General features: G+C 37.5%; 1 protein-coding gene and 1 pseudogene across 8 annotated transcripts in view, besides 1 other annotated feature; one reads left to right on the top strand and one right to left on the bottom strand.

Annotated features, from left to right (window-relative positions):
• Nucleotides 1–19914, bottom strand: part of DGKH (diacylglycerol kinase eta) — a 216515-nt gene that overhangs the window by 73852 nt on the left and 122749 nt on the right. For all 8 annotated transcript variants that reach the window (NR_123715.2, NR_123714.2, NM_001204504.3 and 5 more), the window contains 6 exons: nucleotides 17300–17402; nucleotides 16059–16218; nucleotides 14185–14293; nucleotides 13915–14054; nucleotides 8589–8673; nucleotides 4513–4598 (listed from right to left, as the gene is read on the bottom strand). Coding sequence is in view for 6 of the 8 variants with exons in the window: in NM_001204504.3 (NP_001191433.1) it covers nucleotides 4513–4598; nucleotides 8589–8673; nucleotides 13915–14054; nucleotides 14185–14293; nucleotides 16059–16218; nucleotides 17300–17402 (683 nt within the window). In the remaining 2 variants the exon portion in view is untranslated. The remainder of the gene's footprint in view (nucleotides 1–4512; nucleotides 4599–8588; nucleotides 8674–13914; nucleotides 14055–14184; nucleotides 14294–16058; nucleotides 16219–17299; nucleotides 17403–19914) is intronic.
• On the top strand, nucleotides 536–1269 carry CHCHD2P11 (coiled-coil-helix-coiled-coil-helix domain containing 2 pseudogene 11; annotated as a pseudogene).
• Nucleotides 12233–12864: an enhancer, noted in NCBI's record as "OCT4-NANOG hESC enhancer chr13:42744005-42744636 (GRCh37/hg19 assembly coordinates)". NCBI's record gives its function as "activates a minimal SCP1, AML or CMV promoter by ChIP-STARR-seq in naive H9 embryonic stem cells {active_cell/tissue: H9 hESC(naive)}" and the evidence as "EXISTENCE:reporter gene assay evidence [ECO:0000049][PMID:30033119]".

The following is a 19914-nucleotide window of genomic DNA, read 5'->3' as shown; positions in this document are numbered from 1 at the left end:
TACAGTTAGCCCTCCATATTCATGGGTTCCACATCCATGGAGTCAACCAACCATGGTCTGAAAACATTTGAAAAAGAAAACAGATTGTTTTGTCTACACTGAATATGTGCAGACTTTTTTTTGTCATCATTCCCTGAACAATACAGTATAACAACTATTTACATAGCAAATACATTTGTTATTATAAATAATCTAGAGATGATTAAAGTATGTGGAAGGATGTGTGTAGGTTATATGCAAATACTATGGCATTTTCTATGAGGGACTTGAGTACCTATGAATATTGGTATCCAAGGGGGTCCTGGAGCCAATCCCCCATGGATAGAGAGGGAGGACTATATACCAAAAGTGTAGTAGAATAATTTTCAGGATGTTCTTAGAGATACTGTAGCAAAATAAAGTAGGAAGCAGATGGCAAAATGTTGGTAAATACTGAAACTGAATGATGGGTACAGTGGGAAGTAATTATATCAGTTTTGTTTGAAAATGTCCATAAAAATAAAATTTAGAGATGCTGAGCCACTGCCCATTTGTGATGGCACATGGAAGTCAAAGCTGCACCTCCAGCATGGCCCCTCTGGCCAGCCAGCCACCTCCAATGAGACCTGCACCCCGGCCAGCACCAGCAGCTCAGCTGCCAGCACCAGCAGCTCAGCTGCCAGCACCAGCAGCTCAGCTGCCAGCACCAGCAGCTCAGCTGCCAGCACCAGCAGCTCAGCTGCCAGCACCAGCAGCTCAGCTGCCAGCACCAGCAGCTCAGCTGCCAGCACCAGCAGCTCAGCTGCCAGCACCAGCAGCTCAGCTGCCAGCACCAGCAGCTCAGCTGCCAGCACCAGCAGCTCAGCTGCCAGCACCAGCAGCTCAGCTGCCAGCACCAGCAGCTCAGCTGCCAGCACCAGCAGCTCAGCTGCCAGCAGTGGCCCCACCCACTGCAGTTGAGTCTCCTGCTGCTGCATCCTGGCAGCCAGGTCTGATGGTCCAGATGGCAACCACTGCAGCTGGCGTGGCTGTGGGCCCTGCTGTGGGGCATATACTGGGTCAACTATCATGGGAATGGGGTGGCTTAAACAGAGGAAGTAATGCTGGGCTCACAAGGCCTGACATCACTTACCAGGAGCCTCTGGGAGACTAGCTGCACAGCAGCAGCAGCCTTGCTTGTATAAGACAGAACAGTTTCTGGAGTGTTCCCAGAACTAGGGTGATGTCAAGCTCAGTGAGGGTTCCAAGGAGGTGCTGAAACAGTGCAGACGTGCACATGGACTGGCCTAATCAAGTTCAGCTGAAGACATGGAAAATCAGCTTTCATGACCAAGTAAATTTAGCATAAAAATGTAACAGATAGTGAAGGTATAAAGTGAGAAACCAGCAGTTAAGCCTCTCCTCTGTCATTCATAGCTTCCTTGCTTCAGAATTGCAGTGGAAGAGGATATTCTTTTTTTTTTTTTTTTTTTTTTTTGAGACAGAGTCTCGCTCTGTGGCCCAGGCGGGAGTGCAGTGGCGCAATCTCCGCTCACTGCAAGCTCCGCCTCCCGGGTTCACGCCATTCTCCTGCCTCAGCCTCCCGAGTAGCTAGGACTACAGGCGCCCACCATCACGCCCGGCTAATTTTTTTGTATTTTTAGTAGAGACGGGGTTTCACCGTGTTAGCCAGGATGGTCTCGATCTCCTGACCTCGTGATCCGCCCGCCTCGGCCTTCCAAAGTGCTGGGATTACAAGCGTGAGCCACCGCGCCCGGCCGAAGAGGATATTCTTACTGTGCAGAATTTCATTAAGATGGTATAGAATTTGGGACTGGGTAAATGTGTGGCCTCCTTAAACCAGCTGTTGTGATTTTATTGTTTGTGAGATAACTGGAATAAAGTGATTTTCTTCCAAAAATAATAAGAAGAAGAAATAAAATTTAACATATATTGTATTACTAGTACCAAATAATTATATATTGTCTCCTCTTTTTTCTCTTCAGCCTCTTTATGGCAAATTCCCTAGAATTGTATCTGGGGTTGTAAAGGCCTGGAAGCATAGATGAGTGAGTGACAGGAGGGATGCTGCATCAGAATGGAATCTGCTTAAGGGCAGGCAAGCTGGTTAGGGAGAAACCCAAAGCTAGGGCTGGGAGCAGAGCCTTAGACAAAGAGTCAGGCCAAGGTCAAAGAAAACATCTGAAATGTAATCGGGTAAAACGTGAGGTGATGCTACCATAATTTAATACAGCCCTCTGTCATTTATAAGCTCTATACTTATTATATTACTCAGCTTAATTATCCTAGCAGTTCCATGAGGGAGAAATAACAGGCCTTCTTTCCATATCCCCCACAAATAGGAAACAGGATTGAACACTAGAAAAAACGCTGAATGGAAGCACAATGACTGGCCCAGGAGAGGTGGGCTACACACTCTCTTTGTTTGGTGGGCAGTGCCACTGGGGTTTTCAATGAATTGTATTGCTTGATGGTGAAATGGACAAATCTCCAGTTTGTCCCAGGCTTTAGCACTCCCTATTGTCTTTCTCATCCCAGGCCCAGTTCATACACCTAAGTGATGGGCTGGCCCTTGCCCTGTGAATCAAATGTATTTTGATATGACATTTCAGAGGACATTGCTAGAAAAGGTGGAAAGCTGTAATGGAAGCTTTTTTAAGGTATAGCAAGTCATAAGAGAATTATTTTTTGTTTAATATAGTTAAGTAAATATTTTAACTGGCCACTTTTTATAGTTTGGATGTCAGCAAAACCTTTATATTTACTTTCATGTGTTTGATCACTACCTTTCATATATTTCACATATTTTTAATGAAGTGGAATTCTTGTTAAGAAATTTCTACAGATGCAAACAGGATAATTAGAGTAGCCACCCCTTTTTCTCCCTATCATTCTTAATCTTAACACCTTTGTAGTACAACATTTTTGGCAGTGGAAACCTTTTCTCTAATAAAATCTTTTTTTTTTTTTTTTGAGACAAGATCTCACTCTGTCACCCAGGCTGGAGTGCAGTGGTGCCATCTTAGCTCTAGTACAACCTCCACCTCCCAGGCTCAAGTGATCCTCCCACCTCAGCCTCCTGAGAAGCTGGGACTACAGGCAAGCACCACCACACCTGGCTAATTTTAGTATGTATACTTTGAGTAGAGATGAGGTTTTGTCATATTGCCCAGGCTGGTCTTGAACTCCTGGGCTTCAAGTAATCTGCCCACCTTGGCCTCCCAAAGTGTTGGAATTACAGGCATGAGCCACGGTACCTGGTTCAAATACAATCTTACACAGAATTCCAATATTAAAATACTAAAACTCTGTTTTGTTGACATTAATAAATTAGATAGAATTAAATTTTCTCCTTTACAAGAAAAATTAAGCAATAAAGTTACAGATGACAGTTACAGTCTTCTATTCGATGCAGTTTCCAATTATTTCTGTATTTTATTTTAGTTGCATGATTGTAAGGAAAATTGTTTTCAATTAAGTAAAAATGGCAGAAGATGCTTTAGTCCAATATTTGCACAAAACAGAAACCTGCAGCACTGCCCGCCAAATACAGTCTGCAGCCCACCTCTCCTGGGCCAACTAGTGTGCTTCCCTTGCTGTAAGCCATTCAATTCTTTTCCTGTTGTGCAGTCCTGCTTCCTATTTCTGGGGAATATGTTGTCAAAAGCAATTGTTACTACATTTGTACTTTTTTCACAAGCAAATTTGTTTATAATGATTGATCTTGTCTTTCCTCAACTTTACTGTGAATTAAGTACATAATATACCAAAATTTGTATATTTTTTCTTTACCACTTTCCCACTCCTTTTCTTTCTTTCTTCCCCTTTTCTGCTCTCTTCCTGCATAACAGTAACCCGTGCTTGCTAAGCCAGAATTTGAATGCATTCTTTTGCTTATCAGTTGAAAATTTCAGTTGGTGTCACCCCTTCTTCTAGTCGACTTTCCAGTCTCTTGACATCAGCATAGGATGTTTCAAAACTAAATTCTAAATTCCAGCCAGGCAACATTTGGGATAATAACATCAAGTAGCTTTGGCTCCATGTACAAAATCAACTTCACTAAAATATGATAACTTTGAATTAAAATGTAATTATTCAATTTAAACATGCTGAGAAACATCATTTTGAAAAATCTCATCATTTTCCTTTTTCTAATGTGATGTAAACAGTTCCTAAATAGTAGTGTTTATGGAAATAATGAATTATAATGAAATGTGTTTTCCATATTATAAGTAATCATAAACATTTCCTTAAATAGACATTTAGGTTAATTAAACTCTAAACGCTTCTTACACCTTTTTGATAAAAATGTTTCAAATTAAACATTAAAAAAATACCCTCTAAGTATACACCACTGCAAATAAGATGCTAACATGATTTTTAAAAATCAATTCAAATTTAGTACATCTAATTTTATAAGCTACTTCCAAGATATTTTTTGAGAAGAAAACTCACAAAGAAATGACCTAAATGGTAGGAGCCAGCTATCATTTCATTTTCACCATATTTAAAGACTTAAAACCCACAACTCACTTGGCAGAAGATATGACCACTGCATGTTCATCAGAATTGAGGATTTTTGTAAGATGCGTTGCAACTGAGTCTTCATAAATCGTCATCTGAAGAAAAGAAAACTCTACACTGTATTATTGTTGCTGGCATTTATACAACTCACTTATTGCTGCTCCAGAAATGGAACCCTTCATGACATATGTTTAGGCAAGGCAATCACTATAATGAAATATATGAAAGAGTCATCATGCAAAATAGATATTTCCTTTTGGCAAAAGGCTTTCGGTTTCTGGAATTCTTTAATTTATATTCTTATAGAAATCCATAAAAACTCCTTTACAAAATTTTTTAATGTAAAAATATCTCAATATAAAAATAATTCCTACAAAGTAGTACAATAAAAGCCAAAAAATCTAATAAAAATTGGGCAAAAGACTAGACATTTAAATATAAAAATATCCAAATGGCCCATAAACCGATGAAAACATATCCAATCTCAGCCATCAGGCAAATGGAAACTAAAACCACAATGCAGTACCACCATGCAGCTCCAAAATGGCTAAAATGAAAACAACTAGAAAATGGCAAGTGCTAGCAAGGCTATGGAGCTACAGAATTCTCAAACGCTGCTGATGGGAATGCAAACTGATACACTCTCACAAACGATTTGATAGTGTCTCTTAAAGCTGAACATATGCAATGATATCACAGGACTCAGAAATTCAACTTCTATATCTACACCCAAAAGAAATGCAAAATTGTGTTCACCAAAAGACATGCACTAGGATGTTCACAGCAGCATTCATCTAATAGTAGAATAGATGACAAATTGCAGTGTATTTGTGCAATGGAAGACCATAGGAGAATGAGAATGAATGATTTATAGCCAAGCCACAGTATAGATCAATCTGATAAACATAACATTGAGTGAAAGAATCCAGAAACAAATGAGAGCATACAAAATGATTCTATTTTATAAGTACAAAACAGATACCAATCTATGCTATTAGAAGTCAGCACAGTGATTATTGGGGTAGGAGGTGGGGGTCTTGACTGAAAGAGGGCATGAGGGGGCTTATGGGATACTTGAACACTGACGGGTGGCCTGGCATAGATTTGTTTAGTTTGTGAAAATTTACCAAGCTATACATTTATGACCTGTGCACTCTTCTGTATGTATAATTCAATAAAAAAGTTTTTAAAAATGCTGAATACACTTTCATATAATCATGTAAATAAATATTTCTGTTAAACAATAGTCAAAATGCCAAAAGCATCCATAATCCCTTTTCTATTTGACTCAAACTTTAACATCCCGTTGAAAGACCACATACATTTTCCTAATATGTAAAAATGTGCACAATATTTAAACAGCCTCATATTCAGAGCCTTACATCAAATGTATGCCTCAAATAATATTCCATTTCACACAGCGCAAAATTTTCTAGTATAAATGATCTGCTCTAGGCAAGCTGGCCGCCTATGCTCTTCTGCCTGACTCAGGTATCTTTTCATTACTTCTACCAATCAGCCTCAGTTTATTCAGACTTATTTGAAGATTCAATTAAGTCTGAATAAGCCTTCCCCACAAAGCTTTCCTGACTAGACTCTTCCCAAAAGAACCACATTCCTAATTTACCTTCATTCCACAAGTGGTTATGTTACTCTTTCAAAAGTATGTTACTCTTTTAAATTTCTACATTCTCCTTCAAAGGCAGACCACTACAGGAAAGCAATTTTACATCAAAGAAAGGAAGTGAGGCCAGGAGCTCCCAAGTTACACAAGATGTTGCATTTACCCACAAATCCACCTTACTGATCTCTTAAACACTAAAAATTACATCTTTACAGCTAGGATGAGAAAAATGAAAATATATAATCTAAAAATAAACTTTAAAATTTGAAAAAAGAAAATGTTCTCCAGAGATTGGTTTTATTTTTCTTCCCTGCAGGGTAGAAAATATTTTACATGATCATTAATGCTATTAATAAATTCATTAATGCCAGTTGACTAATGTATTAATTAATAACATTTGATTAATGCCATTTGAAACTTACATTCAAAAAATCCAAGTTTTTGTCCATTAAAAATATTTGAAGATCAAAAAATACAATTTCTCTCAGAGGAAAATAAAATAGCCTCTATGTTCAAAGATAAAATTATAGATGTAACTTATTAACCTACTATGCAGTCACTTAGCACGGTCAGAAAGGTAAGTAATAATAAGAGTTAATATTTTGCATTGTGTACCAGGCGCTGTAATTAAGCACTCTGTATATATTTACCCCTCTGTCCTGTTTTATAGCCAAAGAACCTGAGGCTTACTGAGTAATTTGCCTAAGACCCACAGCTAATGAAGTATACAAAAGCTAAGAAGAAAGATTTAGTCTACTTTTATCGCAGTTTTCAAGGTAAAAAGGCCACACACAGTAAAATGCATTCCTGGTGCCAGCCTAGTTCAGGGCCTAGTCAGGGCCATTCAGAACACTCATTTAATCTGTTATCTTAAAGTATGCTATCCCTTTGTTACAAAAGTAAGTTTATTTTTAAAAAGCAAAGTTTCATTTAAAACTCTTTTGTACAAAAAAAGAGAGATTTCCTTCATATCTTTAGAATTGTACCTCATATTTAGTGATTATACACGTGATAAAAGTAAATATTTACTGTTATTTTATATGCTAGAAAACAGACATTTCTGAAGTAAATGGAAGAAAAAAATTCTCCTTTTTGTCTTTTTTGGAAAGAAATTAATAACATTTACAAAAATACTGTTAAGATAAAGGACTGATTTCCATAAAAATGTGTTATGTTTATGGAATCACATAACTAAAAATGCTGCTGAAAATAAAATGGTAAATATATTAATCTTTAATAGTGATTATCTCTGGGTGGTAGGACTACAGGTGATTTTATTTTCTTTTTCATATAATTTTGTATTTCCCAAATTTTTTTAGAAGCAGTTTTGGCTATCAGCAGTTTTTATGTCAGAAAAAGTTTTTAAAATACAATTAGCTTCTCTAAGAAACGGCCCCATGTTTTTAGTTATCATTCCTTGCCTTGGTTTTGACAAGATCATAATTTTCTTAATGACAAAACAAAGATTTCAACTGTAAAATAAACAGATGAATTTTCCTGGAGGGAAAAATAAGCTAGCATAGATCAAATGGTCTTAATGAGTCAGAGACTAATCCTTTGAAAGTCAGGTTCTGTTTTAAATCTACACCGCTTTGAGGTTTAATCAGAATGCTGAATCTTTAAAAACGTTAGTCATTTATGGTCTGTAGTAGAGATGGAATTAAGTGGTCTTTCTTTAACTATATCAACAGGCTTAACCCAGAGACCTGTCTTGCTGTCCCTTCAGAAGAGTAGGGGCCGGCCACAGTGTCTCATGCCTGTAATCCCAGCACTTTGGGAGGCTAAGGCAGGAGGATCTCTTGAGACCAGGAGGTCAAGGCTGCAGTGAGCTGTGTTTGCATCATCGCATTCCAGCCAGCCTGGGCCACAGAGCAAGACCCTGTCTCAAAAAGAAAAGAACAAGAAAAGAGTACGCAAAGCAAGCAGTAAGACAGAAATTGCATAATATTCTGGCCACGAGTATTGGTATGTTTGGATACTGTTTAAAGAAGCTAACATCTTATAATCAAACAATCTAATGGCCAAAGTAGAAGATGAATAAACACTAACAGGAAACACCAGCTGACCTTCCTAGAGCTCTGCTGATAAAACGGAAACAGGCAGATAGAACATGCAGGGAGGAATTATCTGGGCAGGAGAAGAGATAGTGCTTTACACATCTGTTACATCATTTAACTCCCATGACTTTGTAGCCTCACTTTACACATGAAGAGTCCCAGGAAGAGGAGTGACTGGGCACTCCCGGTGTGGGTGGTCATGGAAGGACTCTAGCCTAGATTCAGGATTCTTCTCTCTGGGGGAGAGGACTAGAGGTAGTCAGTCAATGAGACCATACCCCAAAAATAAAATTAAGTTAACATGCTACCACAATATATTAGGAGTACATTTTCTCTCTCTTTCTTTTTTTTTTCTCAAGATATCCACCCCCATTTCAAATGATAGGTAAAGGGTTAAGTCTTACATAAAATTCTTCAGATGCTTCTGGAGGTCCTGGAAGTAGGGAAGCTTTTGGTGGCAATTTGAGTTCATATGTCATTATACTCCACCTGAAGGGAGAAAAACTCTTTGGTCAAAGATTTCCTTAAAATTGGATAAACTAACTGTTAGCATCTCATAAACGCGCACACACACACACACACACGCACGCACACACACACACACACATTCATGAACTATGGTTTATTTTATCTTAAAACAACCAAAAATGGGAAAAGAGATCACATTTCAGTAATCTCATAAAATGTTGAATTTATAATTTATGATTTCTACATCTTACCATTTCTCCAATTAGTGGCTTCCAAATGTTTTAAGACCCATAGCCCACAATAAGAAATCCACACGTTACAACGCCCCCATTTCTTCTCAGGTGCAATGCATTCTGACTTTTCCATTCTTTTCTGTTCTATTTAAAAAATAATGCTCATTGCAGTTTACTAACTAGGTTATAAATTACTAATGAGTCATAACCCAAAGTTTTAAAACAATGTCTTAAATTAAATAAATACATACTACCTATAAACTGTTACTCAATCACACTTGCCAAATCAGCTTATACATACATAAAATGAAAATTAGCTAAATACCCCTTCTTAAATTAAGAAATAATGAATGTAAGCATGAGAGTAGGGGGAAAATATTAATAATACTTAACTGAAGTAAATTTATTTCAATTAGCTACAAGTATTAATTTCAAAGCAAACATAAAATCATTTGGTGTTAGAGAAAAGCAATCAACTCAAGATAAGTCCAGTTTTCTATCCAAAATAGTAATTTCAAAATTTGGGAAGAAGAGTTGGGCCAGGACATTATTGTAGACTAACAAAATATGAAATAAAGGCCAGGTGTGGTGCCTCATGCCTGTAATCCCAGCACTTTGGGAGACTGAAGTGAATGAATTGCTGGGGCTCAGGAGTTCCAGACCAGCCTGGGCAACATGGTGAAACCTTGTCTCTACAAAAAAATTAAAAATAGCCTGGCATGGTGCTGTGCACCTGTAATCCCAGCTACTTGGATTGCTGAGGAGGGAGGATCACTTGAGCCTGGGAGGTGGAGGTTGCAGTGAGCTGAGATCATGCCACTGCACTCCAGCCTGGGCGACAGAGCCAGACCCTGTCTCAAAAAAAAGAAAAAAGGCCAGGTGCAGTAAATCATGCCTATAATCCCAGCACTTTGGGAGGCCATGGCAGGTGGATCACCTGCGGTCAGGAGTTCAAGATCAGCCTGGCCAACATGGTGAAACCCCGTCTCTACTAAAAATATTAAAAATTAGCCAGGTGTGGTGGCGGGCACCTGTAATCCCAGCTACTCAGGAGGCTGAGGCAGGAGAATCACTTGAACCTGCGAGGCAGAGGTTGCAGTGAGCCAAGATCATGCCACTGCACTCCAGCCTCGATGACAACAGCAAAACTCCATCTCAAAGAAAAAGATGTAAAATAAAGATTTTTACACAGAAACAAAGCATAATAAAAGCAGTACCTTAACAAATGAATTTTAAGAAAAGCATAACACAGCTGAAGCTACTGATAGAACCCAGAGGAAAATCCCAAGATCAATATTTAAACAGAACCTAGTGTATCATTCAGCCTATGAGAATAAATATTTGCATAAAAATTCAAATTCCCAGAAAGCCCCCCAATAGACATACATTATATTTTGGGACATGTAAACTAGTTACTTTTAGCTACTATTCAACTCTTCCCATGAAAATACTTTAAAAGAAATTTACTTTGGGAGGCTGAGGCGGGCAGATCACGAGGTCAAGAGGTCAAAAGATCAAGACCATCCTGGCCAACATGGTGAAACCCCATCTCTACTAAAAATACAAAAATCAGCTGGGTGTGGTGGCACACGCCTGTAGTCCCAACTACTTGGGAGGCTGAGGCAGGAGTATCGCTTGAATGTGGAGGTTACAGTGAGCCGAGATTGTGCCACTGAACTCCAGCCTGGTGACAGAGCGAAACTCTATCTCAAAAAAAAGAGGCTGGGTGTGGTGGCTCATGCCTATAATCCCAGCACTTTGGGAGGCCGAGGCGGGCGGATCACGAGGTCAGGAGATCAAGACCATCCTGGCTAACATGGTGAAACCCCGTCTCTACTAAAAATACAAAAATTAGCCGGGCGTGGTGGCGGGCACCTATAGTCCCAGCTACTTGGGAGGCTGAGGCAGGAGAATGGCGTGAACCTGGGAGGCGGAGCTTGCAGTGAGGCAAGATCGCACCACTGCACTCCAGCCTGGGCTACAGAGCGAGACTCCGTCTCAAAAAAAAAAAAAAAAAAAGAAATTTATATTTGAAAACCAAAAGCCATCATTTATCCATGCAGCAGATATACTATATTGAGCATCTCAAAGTCACAGGGTCTGGAAACACAAGGGTGAATAGGCTTCCCCAATGAAGCTAACATTCCAGTGCAAAAAATAGGTATGATGCAAGCAAACAAAACAATTAAACTTTGTAAATATCCAAACAGGGAAAACCACGAGTAGAAACATAAAAGTCAAGTTCCTTATAGCTGGAAATACTTTTCTGGTCAAAGACAGTTAAATAAATGGTAAATAAATCCATCCAAATGTCTGAGTTCCTTGCACCCTCCATGCTATACCTCCCCACTCGATAGGAAATGGTTGGAGCTAAATAAAAAGGAGAAAGTGGCAGCAAGAGATGAAAAAGTGAGGAAGAGGTGCATATGAGTATCAGCTAAGCAGAGGCACAGGCCAGAAGGAAGGAACCATCTGGCCTACACACATAAAGGGGAAAGAGTGCAGAGTTGAGAAAGGACCCTGGACACTAGACAGAGCAGGGATTGCAGTTTACCATGCCCGTTCTATTACTTATTAGCTATTTAACTTAGATAATGTGAAAGCCTCCTAAACCTTTTCACCAGTAAAATGGAGATGGCAATATTAGCTATCTCTAGGAGAAGGGATTTAATTAAATGAGATGATACACGAAGTAAAGCAACTAGAAAGTGCTAGCAGACAAAAAATTAGTTGTTTTTATTCCCACTGTATCCAGAAAACTACATTTTCATCTTTGTAAAATAATGCTTTTCTGACCCAACCCAAAGTGTTGTTCTGAGGATCAAATAAATATATTTGAAAAACTCATCTAATTTAAAACATTAAACAATGACTTTTTAACTGGTGTATTTTTTTTTTTTTTTTTGAGACAGAGTCTCGCTCTGTTGGCCAGGCTTCAGTGCATTGGCATGATCTTGGCTCACTGCAACCTCCGCCTCCCGGGTTCAAGCGATTCTCCTGCCTCAGCCTCCCGAGTAGCTGGGATTACAGGTACCCACCACCATGCCCAGTTAATTTTTGTATTTTTAGTAGAGACGGGGTTTCACCGTGTTGGCCAGGCTGGTCTCGAACTCCTGACCTCAGGTAATTCGCCCACCTGGGCCTCCCAAAGTGCTGGGATTACAGGCGTGAGCCACTGCAACCAACCCACTTGTTCTTTACAAACAGTAAATTAATAAAGGAAACATAGGAATAAAATATTCCTATGTTTCTAACAAAGATCTTAAGTTTCTGAATCCACTTTGATTTTTGTGTGTGTGTATTTTCTTTTGTTTTGTTTTGATTTTGCATATCAGTTGGTATTCAAGGAATTTCACCATGGGGGTGCTGTTTCTTGGCTAACCACCTGGAGAAGTGACTTTTTATTCATTTATTTATTTATTTTTAATTTTTTTTGAGACAGGGTCTCACTCTGTCGCCCAGATTGTAGGGCAGTGGTGCAATTGTGGCTCACTGCCACCTCCACCTCCTGGGCTCAAGTGATCCTCCCACATCGGCCTTCCAAAGTGTTGGGATTATAGGCGTGAGCCACCTCCCCCGACTGAGAAGTGAATTTCTATAGCACACGAGGGGAAAGCACATACCCAGGGTAGATGAAATGCCTAACAGCAGGGGAAGTGGTCTTTACATTTGCAACAAAGACAGCATTTAAATAACCCCTTTTGTTTGGTAACCACAGAATTGGACAGTTGTCTGGGAAGTCACCTCCAGGCTCATTTACAAATAATGGTGATTTTATTTATTTATTTCCAATCTTTTTTCCCCAGTTAGGTATAATTGACAAATAAAAAATTGTATATATTTAAGGTGTACAACTTGATGTTTGGATATATATACAACACAATCAAGCTAACTAACATATCCATAGGTACCATTTCTCTTTTTCATTCCTTTTCTTCTTTTAACCTCCAGATTATTTTAAAGGATGGAGGCTGAACCCAGTAGCACATAAGATTATAAACTTTTATGCACCCAAGCTACTGGAGTATCTCTCTCATGTAATTTTGGATGAACAGAGACAAATGTTCTATTTCCCAGCTCTCTTTTTAAATATTCTGTCAGCAAAATATTTTACCTTATGACAGGCAAGGTTACAATTAATTAGGTTATAGCCCATCTTAGAGTAATTACATTTCAGATTGGTGGCTCCCTGGTGAAATTTTGTTATTTTCGGGAAGAGTTCCACAGATGGCTAATTCTATCAAAATTGTTTTGATTTATGCTACCTCAAGTTGATCATGATATTTTGACATCTGTCTTCTACTGACATTGGGGGTTGGGGAGTGGCTGGTTACTGAGTCCTGTTGTTCCTTATACCCAAATTTTAAACACTTCCTCCATAACACGCAGGGTACACACATTGTAGCTTCTTTTTTATACACGGACATTCAGAGAGAAAGCAATTAAGAGATGTGATCAAGAACAGCATAAACACAATGATAGTCCCTTCATTTGAAGCTGTCTTCCTAATATTTTCCTGCCCCTGGGAAAGGACTGCTTATATTTTAACATATCTAGTTCTTATTGGATCAATGCATTCTTAATATGTATATTTAAGAGGAGATATTCTAACAAATCTAACGTTTATATGTCCTCTTTAGCTTTTTGGAAACCATACAATGACAGGAGACTACCTACCATACTCATCAAAAGGCCCCCCACAAAATGAACTATTTTCGTTTTCTGACCTGAACTGCAATTAAAAGTAAATAGTAGTAACATAGCCTTCTGTATTTAAAATAATGAGTTCCTCAGACTAGTTTTTTATAATTCATTCATTCACTATAAAACATCTTTATTGAGTGTCTTCTCTGTGATAGGCCCTGTTCTCCATCTCAGGGATTAACCAGTGGACAAGATCAGGAAGGCTCTGCCTTCGTGGAGCTTCTAGTCAGTAAAATTTATTAATAAATATTTATTAAGAAATCATCAAAAAAATGATTTCAGTATGCCATTTTCCATCTAGTTGTAGAAAAGAATTTACTTTTACCTGTCCAACATTTTGGTACTGGCTCGTTCCAGTTTCTCTAGGATCTGAGGAAGTTGGGTGTCATCGTCATATGAACCTCCCCAGCCAAGAACTCGGGCAAGGTCATTTCCTGTACCCAAAGGCAACACTCCCAGCTGACACTGAAAGACAGTGCAACAGGGTGACTTTCAGACAAGTTGAGAAATAGGGACTACTGCATTTCTGCACCTCTCTGGTAAGTATGTTAGTATGCATTCATGTTAACTAGCAAGTAAAAGAATTAGCACTTGCCTGTTTATTCAAGTTGAGCTTATCGATTTCTGACAAAACCCAACCTACACTTCCATCGCCTCCACAAACAAGAATCCGGAAATTGTCAAACTTCTGAAATAATCTTAAACTGAAAGCAAAAAGGATTTTATTTTAGTATAAAGAAATAAAAATCACTTTCCTCAATTCTTTGTTATTCTGTATCAGTATTCATATTCAGATTAAATATAAGAACTCCTACTTACATGTTAATTATACCATAAACATTCACTGAAGTGTAATTTTAACTCAAGAAAACTTCTGAATCATAAGGAGGAAAGGGAATGATAAGTAGAAATGAAGATAAAATTAGGAGGAATGGGGGTGAGAAATGAGAAAACAAAAAAGCAGCAGAAACCGGGAAAGGTAAAGTAATACAAGATGGTGGAAGTAGTGGTTCTTCTCTTTCTATTACAAGAATAAATTCTTTCCTTAAGAATTACAAACCATGGGTAAGGAATCTAGGGTGCTGATGCTAATGAGTGACGCTCAGGCAGTTCCTAAAGACACCAATCATTGTATTGCTCTCAGGACTCCCAACTGGCTTTTTCTCCTCCTCTTCTCCTATTCTCAGGCCCATCCTTCTATTTTCCCTCATCTCAACTTTTGACACATCCCGTCTCCTAAATGTACCCTTGTACACTTACTTCAAGTATTATGGAAAATCTGAAAAATATTAGAGGGACAATCTCAGGAAGTTTCATCAAGAGAGGTCCTTGAAGCCTTCGAGGACAAATGGGAAAATAAATCAAGACTATAAGATAATGGAACTATAAAGGATTATAAAATGGACGTGTTAGAAAGGGGGACAAAACTACCCTAGCATGGCAGAGACAAAGAAGGTGAGAAGAGAGGCTAGATGAGGAAACTCTAGGACCTCAGCAGAGGAAAGGAAGGGCAGTACACGTAGATAAGGAGGAAGCTGGGTATAAATGAAGAAGACCAACATCCATGTGACCAGAAGGGCCTGAGACTTAGCAAGATAAAGGCAATGGAAGCAGGAAGGAAGACTCAGGGGGCAAAAGTGAACAGAGGCACCAAGAGAGAAGAAAGGAGAGAAATAGAGAAGACAGAGGAAAGTATCACATTACGAAACACAAAATGCCTTTTCAGGCACTGGTATCAAAAATCCCCACTTCTACTTCCGTGTTCATGCTTTAAGGTAATGGTGGAACCCAAGAGAAAAGCTGAGTTGCTGTAAGTATGTTACATAGAGGTTTGAAGGCCCCTGGTTCAGAAGACATAATATCGCCTCTTAAGAAAAATCATATGCATACCCTAAAAATGTATTGAAAGTGCCAAAAGGTATATTTTCCCTCAGTGAAAATACCACTTAGTTCATTTTATCTTACAGATTTTAAGTTATATGACATCCAGAAAGCTGAAAAGAATCATCAATAAAGTATTTCTTTGTCATTTATGTGAACTGAGTCTGAGATCCTTGAAGAACTGCCCTTGACAGCCATGAGAGTCCCTGTACTTTGGTTTAATAATCGATTATTTATATTGTATGTAAATCAATATCAGCCTTCCATGCAAATCATTTTCTAATATTACTTTATATTTCTATATTTACGCAAGTTGATCTTTCTTGGAGCTAAAGAAATTGTTAGTATTGTTTGATGTAGAATATATTCTAAAACATTTTCTAAACAAATTTTGGAATTGAGAAATTAGGAATTTATACAAGACAGTTGTATAACTATCCAAAAGGTTGTGTTAAAACTTATAATTAGAGCTTTAAAAACGAGGGAGGGATCTAGAGGAATCTGTAATTTTCATGAGCTGAAAAACCAAACACATTTAACACCTAGTCCTACATTGTATTCAAATAAGATTTATCAATAATCAGTTACCCTAAATGAGGACCTCCATTCATTAAATCAAACACCTGAGCCGGATTTAGCAACTGTTTAAAGCGACGGAGGAACTTTACTCCCTGATTATCTCCACTCTTAGAATTGACAAAAACCAATAGAGGACTAACACAGAACGAAAATGTTGCTCTACAGAAACCTGTGAAAAAAACACAACACAAGATCAATACATACAGCTTTCTCTTTTAAATTATTAGCAAACATTCAGAGAAAAGAAAATAAATTCATAAAAACTGGAGCATTAAGTTATAATTTAGCTCTCCAAATAGAGATAGGTTAACTATTTACATACAAACCTATATGTTTGTATGTAATTCTTATGTTCATATTCAATATTTCAAAGTATTTTAACTGCTCTTTTCTGAAGTCTGAGAGAATATTTTAAAATTTATAGTAAACAAAATCAGGGCTTAGGTTGGGGGAGAGGGCTGTTAATAGCACAGGTTTTTAAAAAAGTCACATATTTTGAGGTTTATAAACTTACATCTTCAGGTTTATAAACTTATATCTAAGATATCTATTGGCATAAATTAAAAAGTTTGAAAAGCATAAGGCATGATATCAATGCAAGACATTAATAATAGTACAGTCCTCCCTGTATATTTTGGGGGAATTGGCTGCAGGAACCCTATGAATATCAAAATCCACAGTTGCTCAAGTCTGTTACATAAAACAGCATAGCATTATACATGGTAAAAAGCCTTTGCAATACGGTTTGCTTAGAAGGAAGTAATTAGTATGCAATCCCAAAACCGGTGTTGTAGAGGGGTTCCTCAGCACTTTAGAGTTAAGTTGTAAGATTTTGGGAAAAGTGCATTTATAGGAATATAAATTCCTACAATGAAATTACAGAAAAACAGATTTTAATAACAGCCATGCTAATAGGCAGTTTCAATTATAGAGGAAAAAAACACTTATAAAAATTAACCTTTTCAGATTGTATTGCCGTACAGAGTAATGATCTTGTTTTATTTACTAAAACATAAAATCTAGAAGTCTTATATACAGTAATTTCGCCAATGTTAACAGCTATTCTACAACTTTCACTTAAATATATTCTTTTAAAAATGGAATGTACTTTCAGCAATTTAAATGGAATTATTTTAGAAAAACTGACTACAATAGTCAATTACCATCATAGTTATTATTCTAGGAAAAGAAATATACATATCAATGTTAAATATACCAGAAATATACGTACTTACACTACTGCTACATACCATCGGAATCGGTGCTGTTTAGTGCAATTGGAGGTATGATAGATACTTTACATTGACCAAGTGGACATATTGGATGGTATAAATCTTTGCAGGCAGTGTGTACCTAATGACAAACAAATATACCTTCAAGAATCATAAAAATAATGTTCTGCCATTATAAATCACATCTAAGGAACTGATAATCTAGAATCAACTGTACCACAAAATGTTCAGTAATTCATAAACTACTTTAAATGGTATAACATTTATACTTCAGGAAATGACTAAACATTTTAGAAATGGAAATTTGATTTTAGTCCATGCAACCAATTTTTGTAATTATCTCAGAGAGGAATATATAGTTAATGAATAACTGTTGAAGGCGAAGAGAGAGAAAGAGAAGAGACCAAGTGCAGAGGAAGGGAGGCAGAGAAGAGAAAAAGAAGGGGAAAAGGAAGAAGAAGGACGGAAACTAACCAGTGTGTCAATATCATTGCCCATAAAATAAATTGATGACAGAACATTTATTTTGTTCTTATAAAAATTCTTATAAAATTTAACAAAGATAAAATCTATAAAGTGCCTGCTTTTTCTGCAGTAATCCCATAACTTTCTATTCACATTTCTTTTATGACATTTCCCTATTATTAAAGTTACAAGTACCCCCATGCTTATTTTCTCAGCTGGACTGCTGCCCTGTAAGGTAAAGGAAAGTGATGCGTATCACAGGCACCCAGTAAATGTGCTTTCAGTAGAAATGAGTTTCATGGTCATGCAAGGTACTACTGAGAACAAAAACAAGGATAACTTATTAAGTAGGACCCAGGCAATTTAGTTTGTGTACTTGTCTGGAGAGCCTTCTAAATGTTTTAACCAGTAAAAGCAGACACTTTTCATCAAGTTCTTATTTAATATGACTTTATTTTATTAGTCCTTTTAGAAAACTGGCATAATTAAACCTGTATTTATCAAAACCTTTGGGAGAATAACTAAAATTCAATAATAATTCTAATTCTGGTGAAGACCTGTTTTTAGACAGTTTTCTATTATGCTTTACAATAATTAACAATCCAAATGCATTTTAGAAAAACTAGCACACACAGATAGCTTTAAAAGTAATTTTAAAATGTATAAGAACCATGGAGCAAAACAGAAAGGTATTTATAATAATGCTAAATAAGAAAAGCAGATGATCAAATTATATCTTCACAATTTTTACAGAAAAGGTAAAACTATGTCCACAGACCTGGATGACAGTAGGAAAAATTATAAGTTGATTCATTAGGTTTATAGGGCTATGGGCTTTTTTATTTTGTTTGTTTTCTTTTTTCACTACATAGATTATGTTTTAGGCACTAGATATCCTGCTGTTAGAAACTCATAAAGCTGAAACTGGATCCCTTCCTTACACCTTATACAAAAATCAATTCAAGATGGATTAAAGACTTAAACTTTAGACCTAAAACCATAAAAACCCTAGAAGAAAACCTAGGCATTACCATTCAGGACATAGGCATGGGCAAGGACTTCATGTCTGAAACACCAAAAGCAGTGGCAACAAAAGCCAAAATTGACAAATGGGATCTAATTAAACTAAAGAGCTTCTGCACAGCAAAAGAAACTACCATCAGAGTGAACAGGCAACCTACAAAATGGGAGAAAATTTTCGCAACCTACTCATCTGACAAAGGGCTAATATCCAGAATCTACAATGAACTCAAACAAATTTACAAGAAAAAAACAAACAACCCCATCAAAAAGTGGGCAAAGGATATGAACAGACACTTCTCAAAAGAAGACATTTATGCAGCCAAAAGACACATGAAAAAATGCTCACTATCACTGGCCATCAGAGAAATGCAGATCAAAACCACAATGAGATACCATCTCACACCCGTTAGAATGGCAATCATTAAAAAGTCAGGAAACAACAGGTGCTGGAGAGGATGTGGAGAAATAGGAACACTTTTACACTGTTGGTGGGACTGTAACCTGGTTCAACCATTGTGGAAGTCAGTGTGGCGATTCCTCAGGGATCTAGAACTAGAAATACCATTTGACCCAGCCATCCCATTACTGGGTATATACCCAAAGACTATAAATCATGCTGCTATAAAGACACATGCACACGTATGTTTATTGCGGCACTATTCACAAAAGCAAAGACTTGGAACCAACCCAAATGTCCAACAATGATAGACTGGATTAAGAAAATGTGGCACATATACACCATGGAATACTATGCAGCCATAAAAAATGATGAGTTCATGTCCTTTGTAGGGACATGGATGAAATTGGAAATCATCATTCTCAGTAAACTATAGCAAGGACAAAAAACCAAACACCGCATGTTCTCACTCATAGATGGGAATTGAACAATGAGAACACGTGGACACAGGAAGGGGAACATCACACTCTGGGGACTGTTGTGGGGTTGGGGGAGGGGGGAGGGATAGCATTAGGAGATATACCTAATGCTAAATGATGAGTTAATGGGTGCAGCACACTAGCATGGCACATGTATACCTATGTAACTAACCTGCACATTGTGCACATGTACCCTAAAACTAAAAGTATAATAATAATTAAAAAAAAAGACATACGCAAAATAAAAAAAAAAAAAAGAAACTCATGTT

This window comes from Homo sapiens, chromosome 13, assembly GCF_000001405.40.
Source record: "Homo sapiens chromosome 13, GRCh38.p14 Primary Assembly".
Classification (NCBI taxonomy): domain Eukaryota; kingdom Metazoa; phylum Chordata; class Mammalia; order Primates; family Hominidae; genus Homo; species Homo sapiens.
This window is presented reverse-complemented; position numbering and strand designations above follow the sequence as displayed.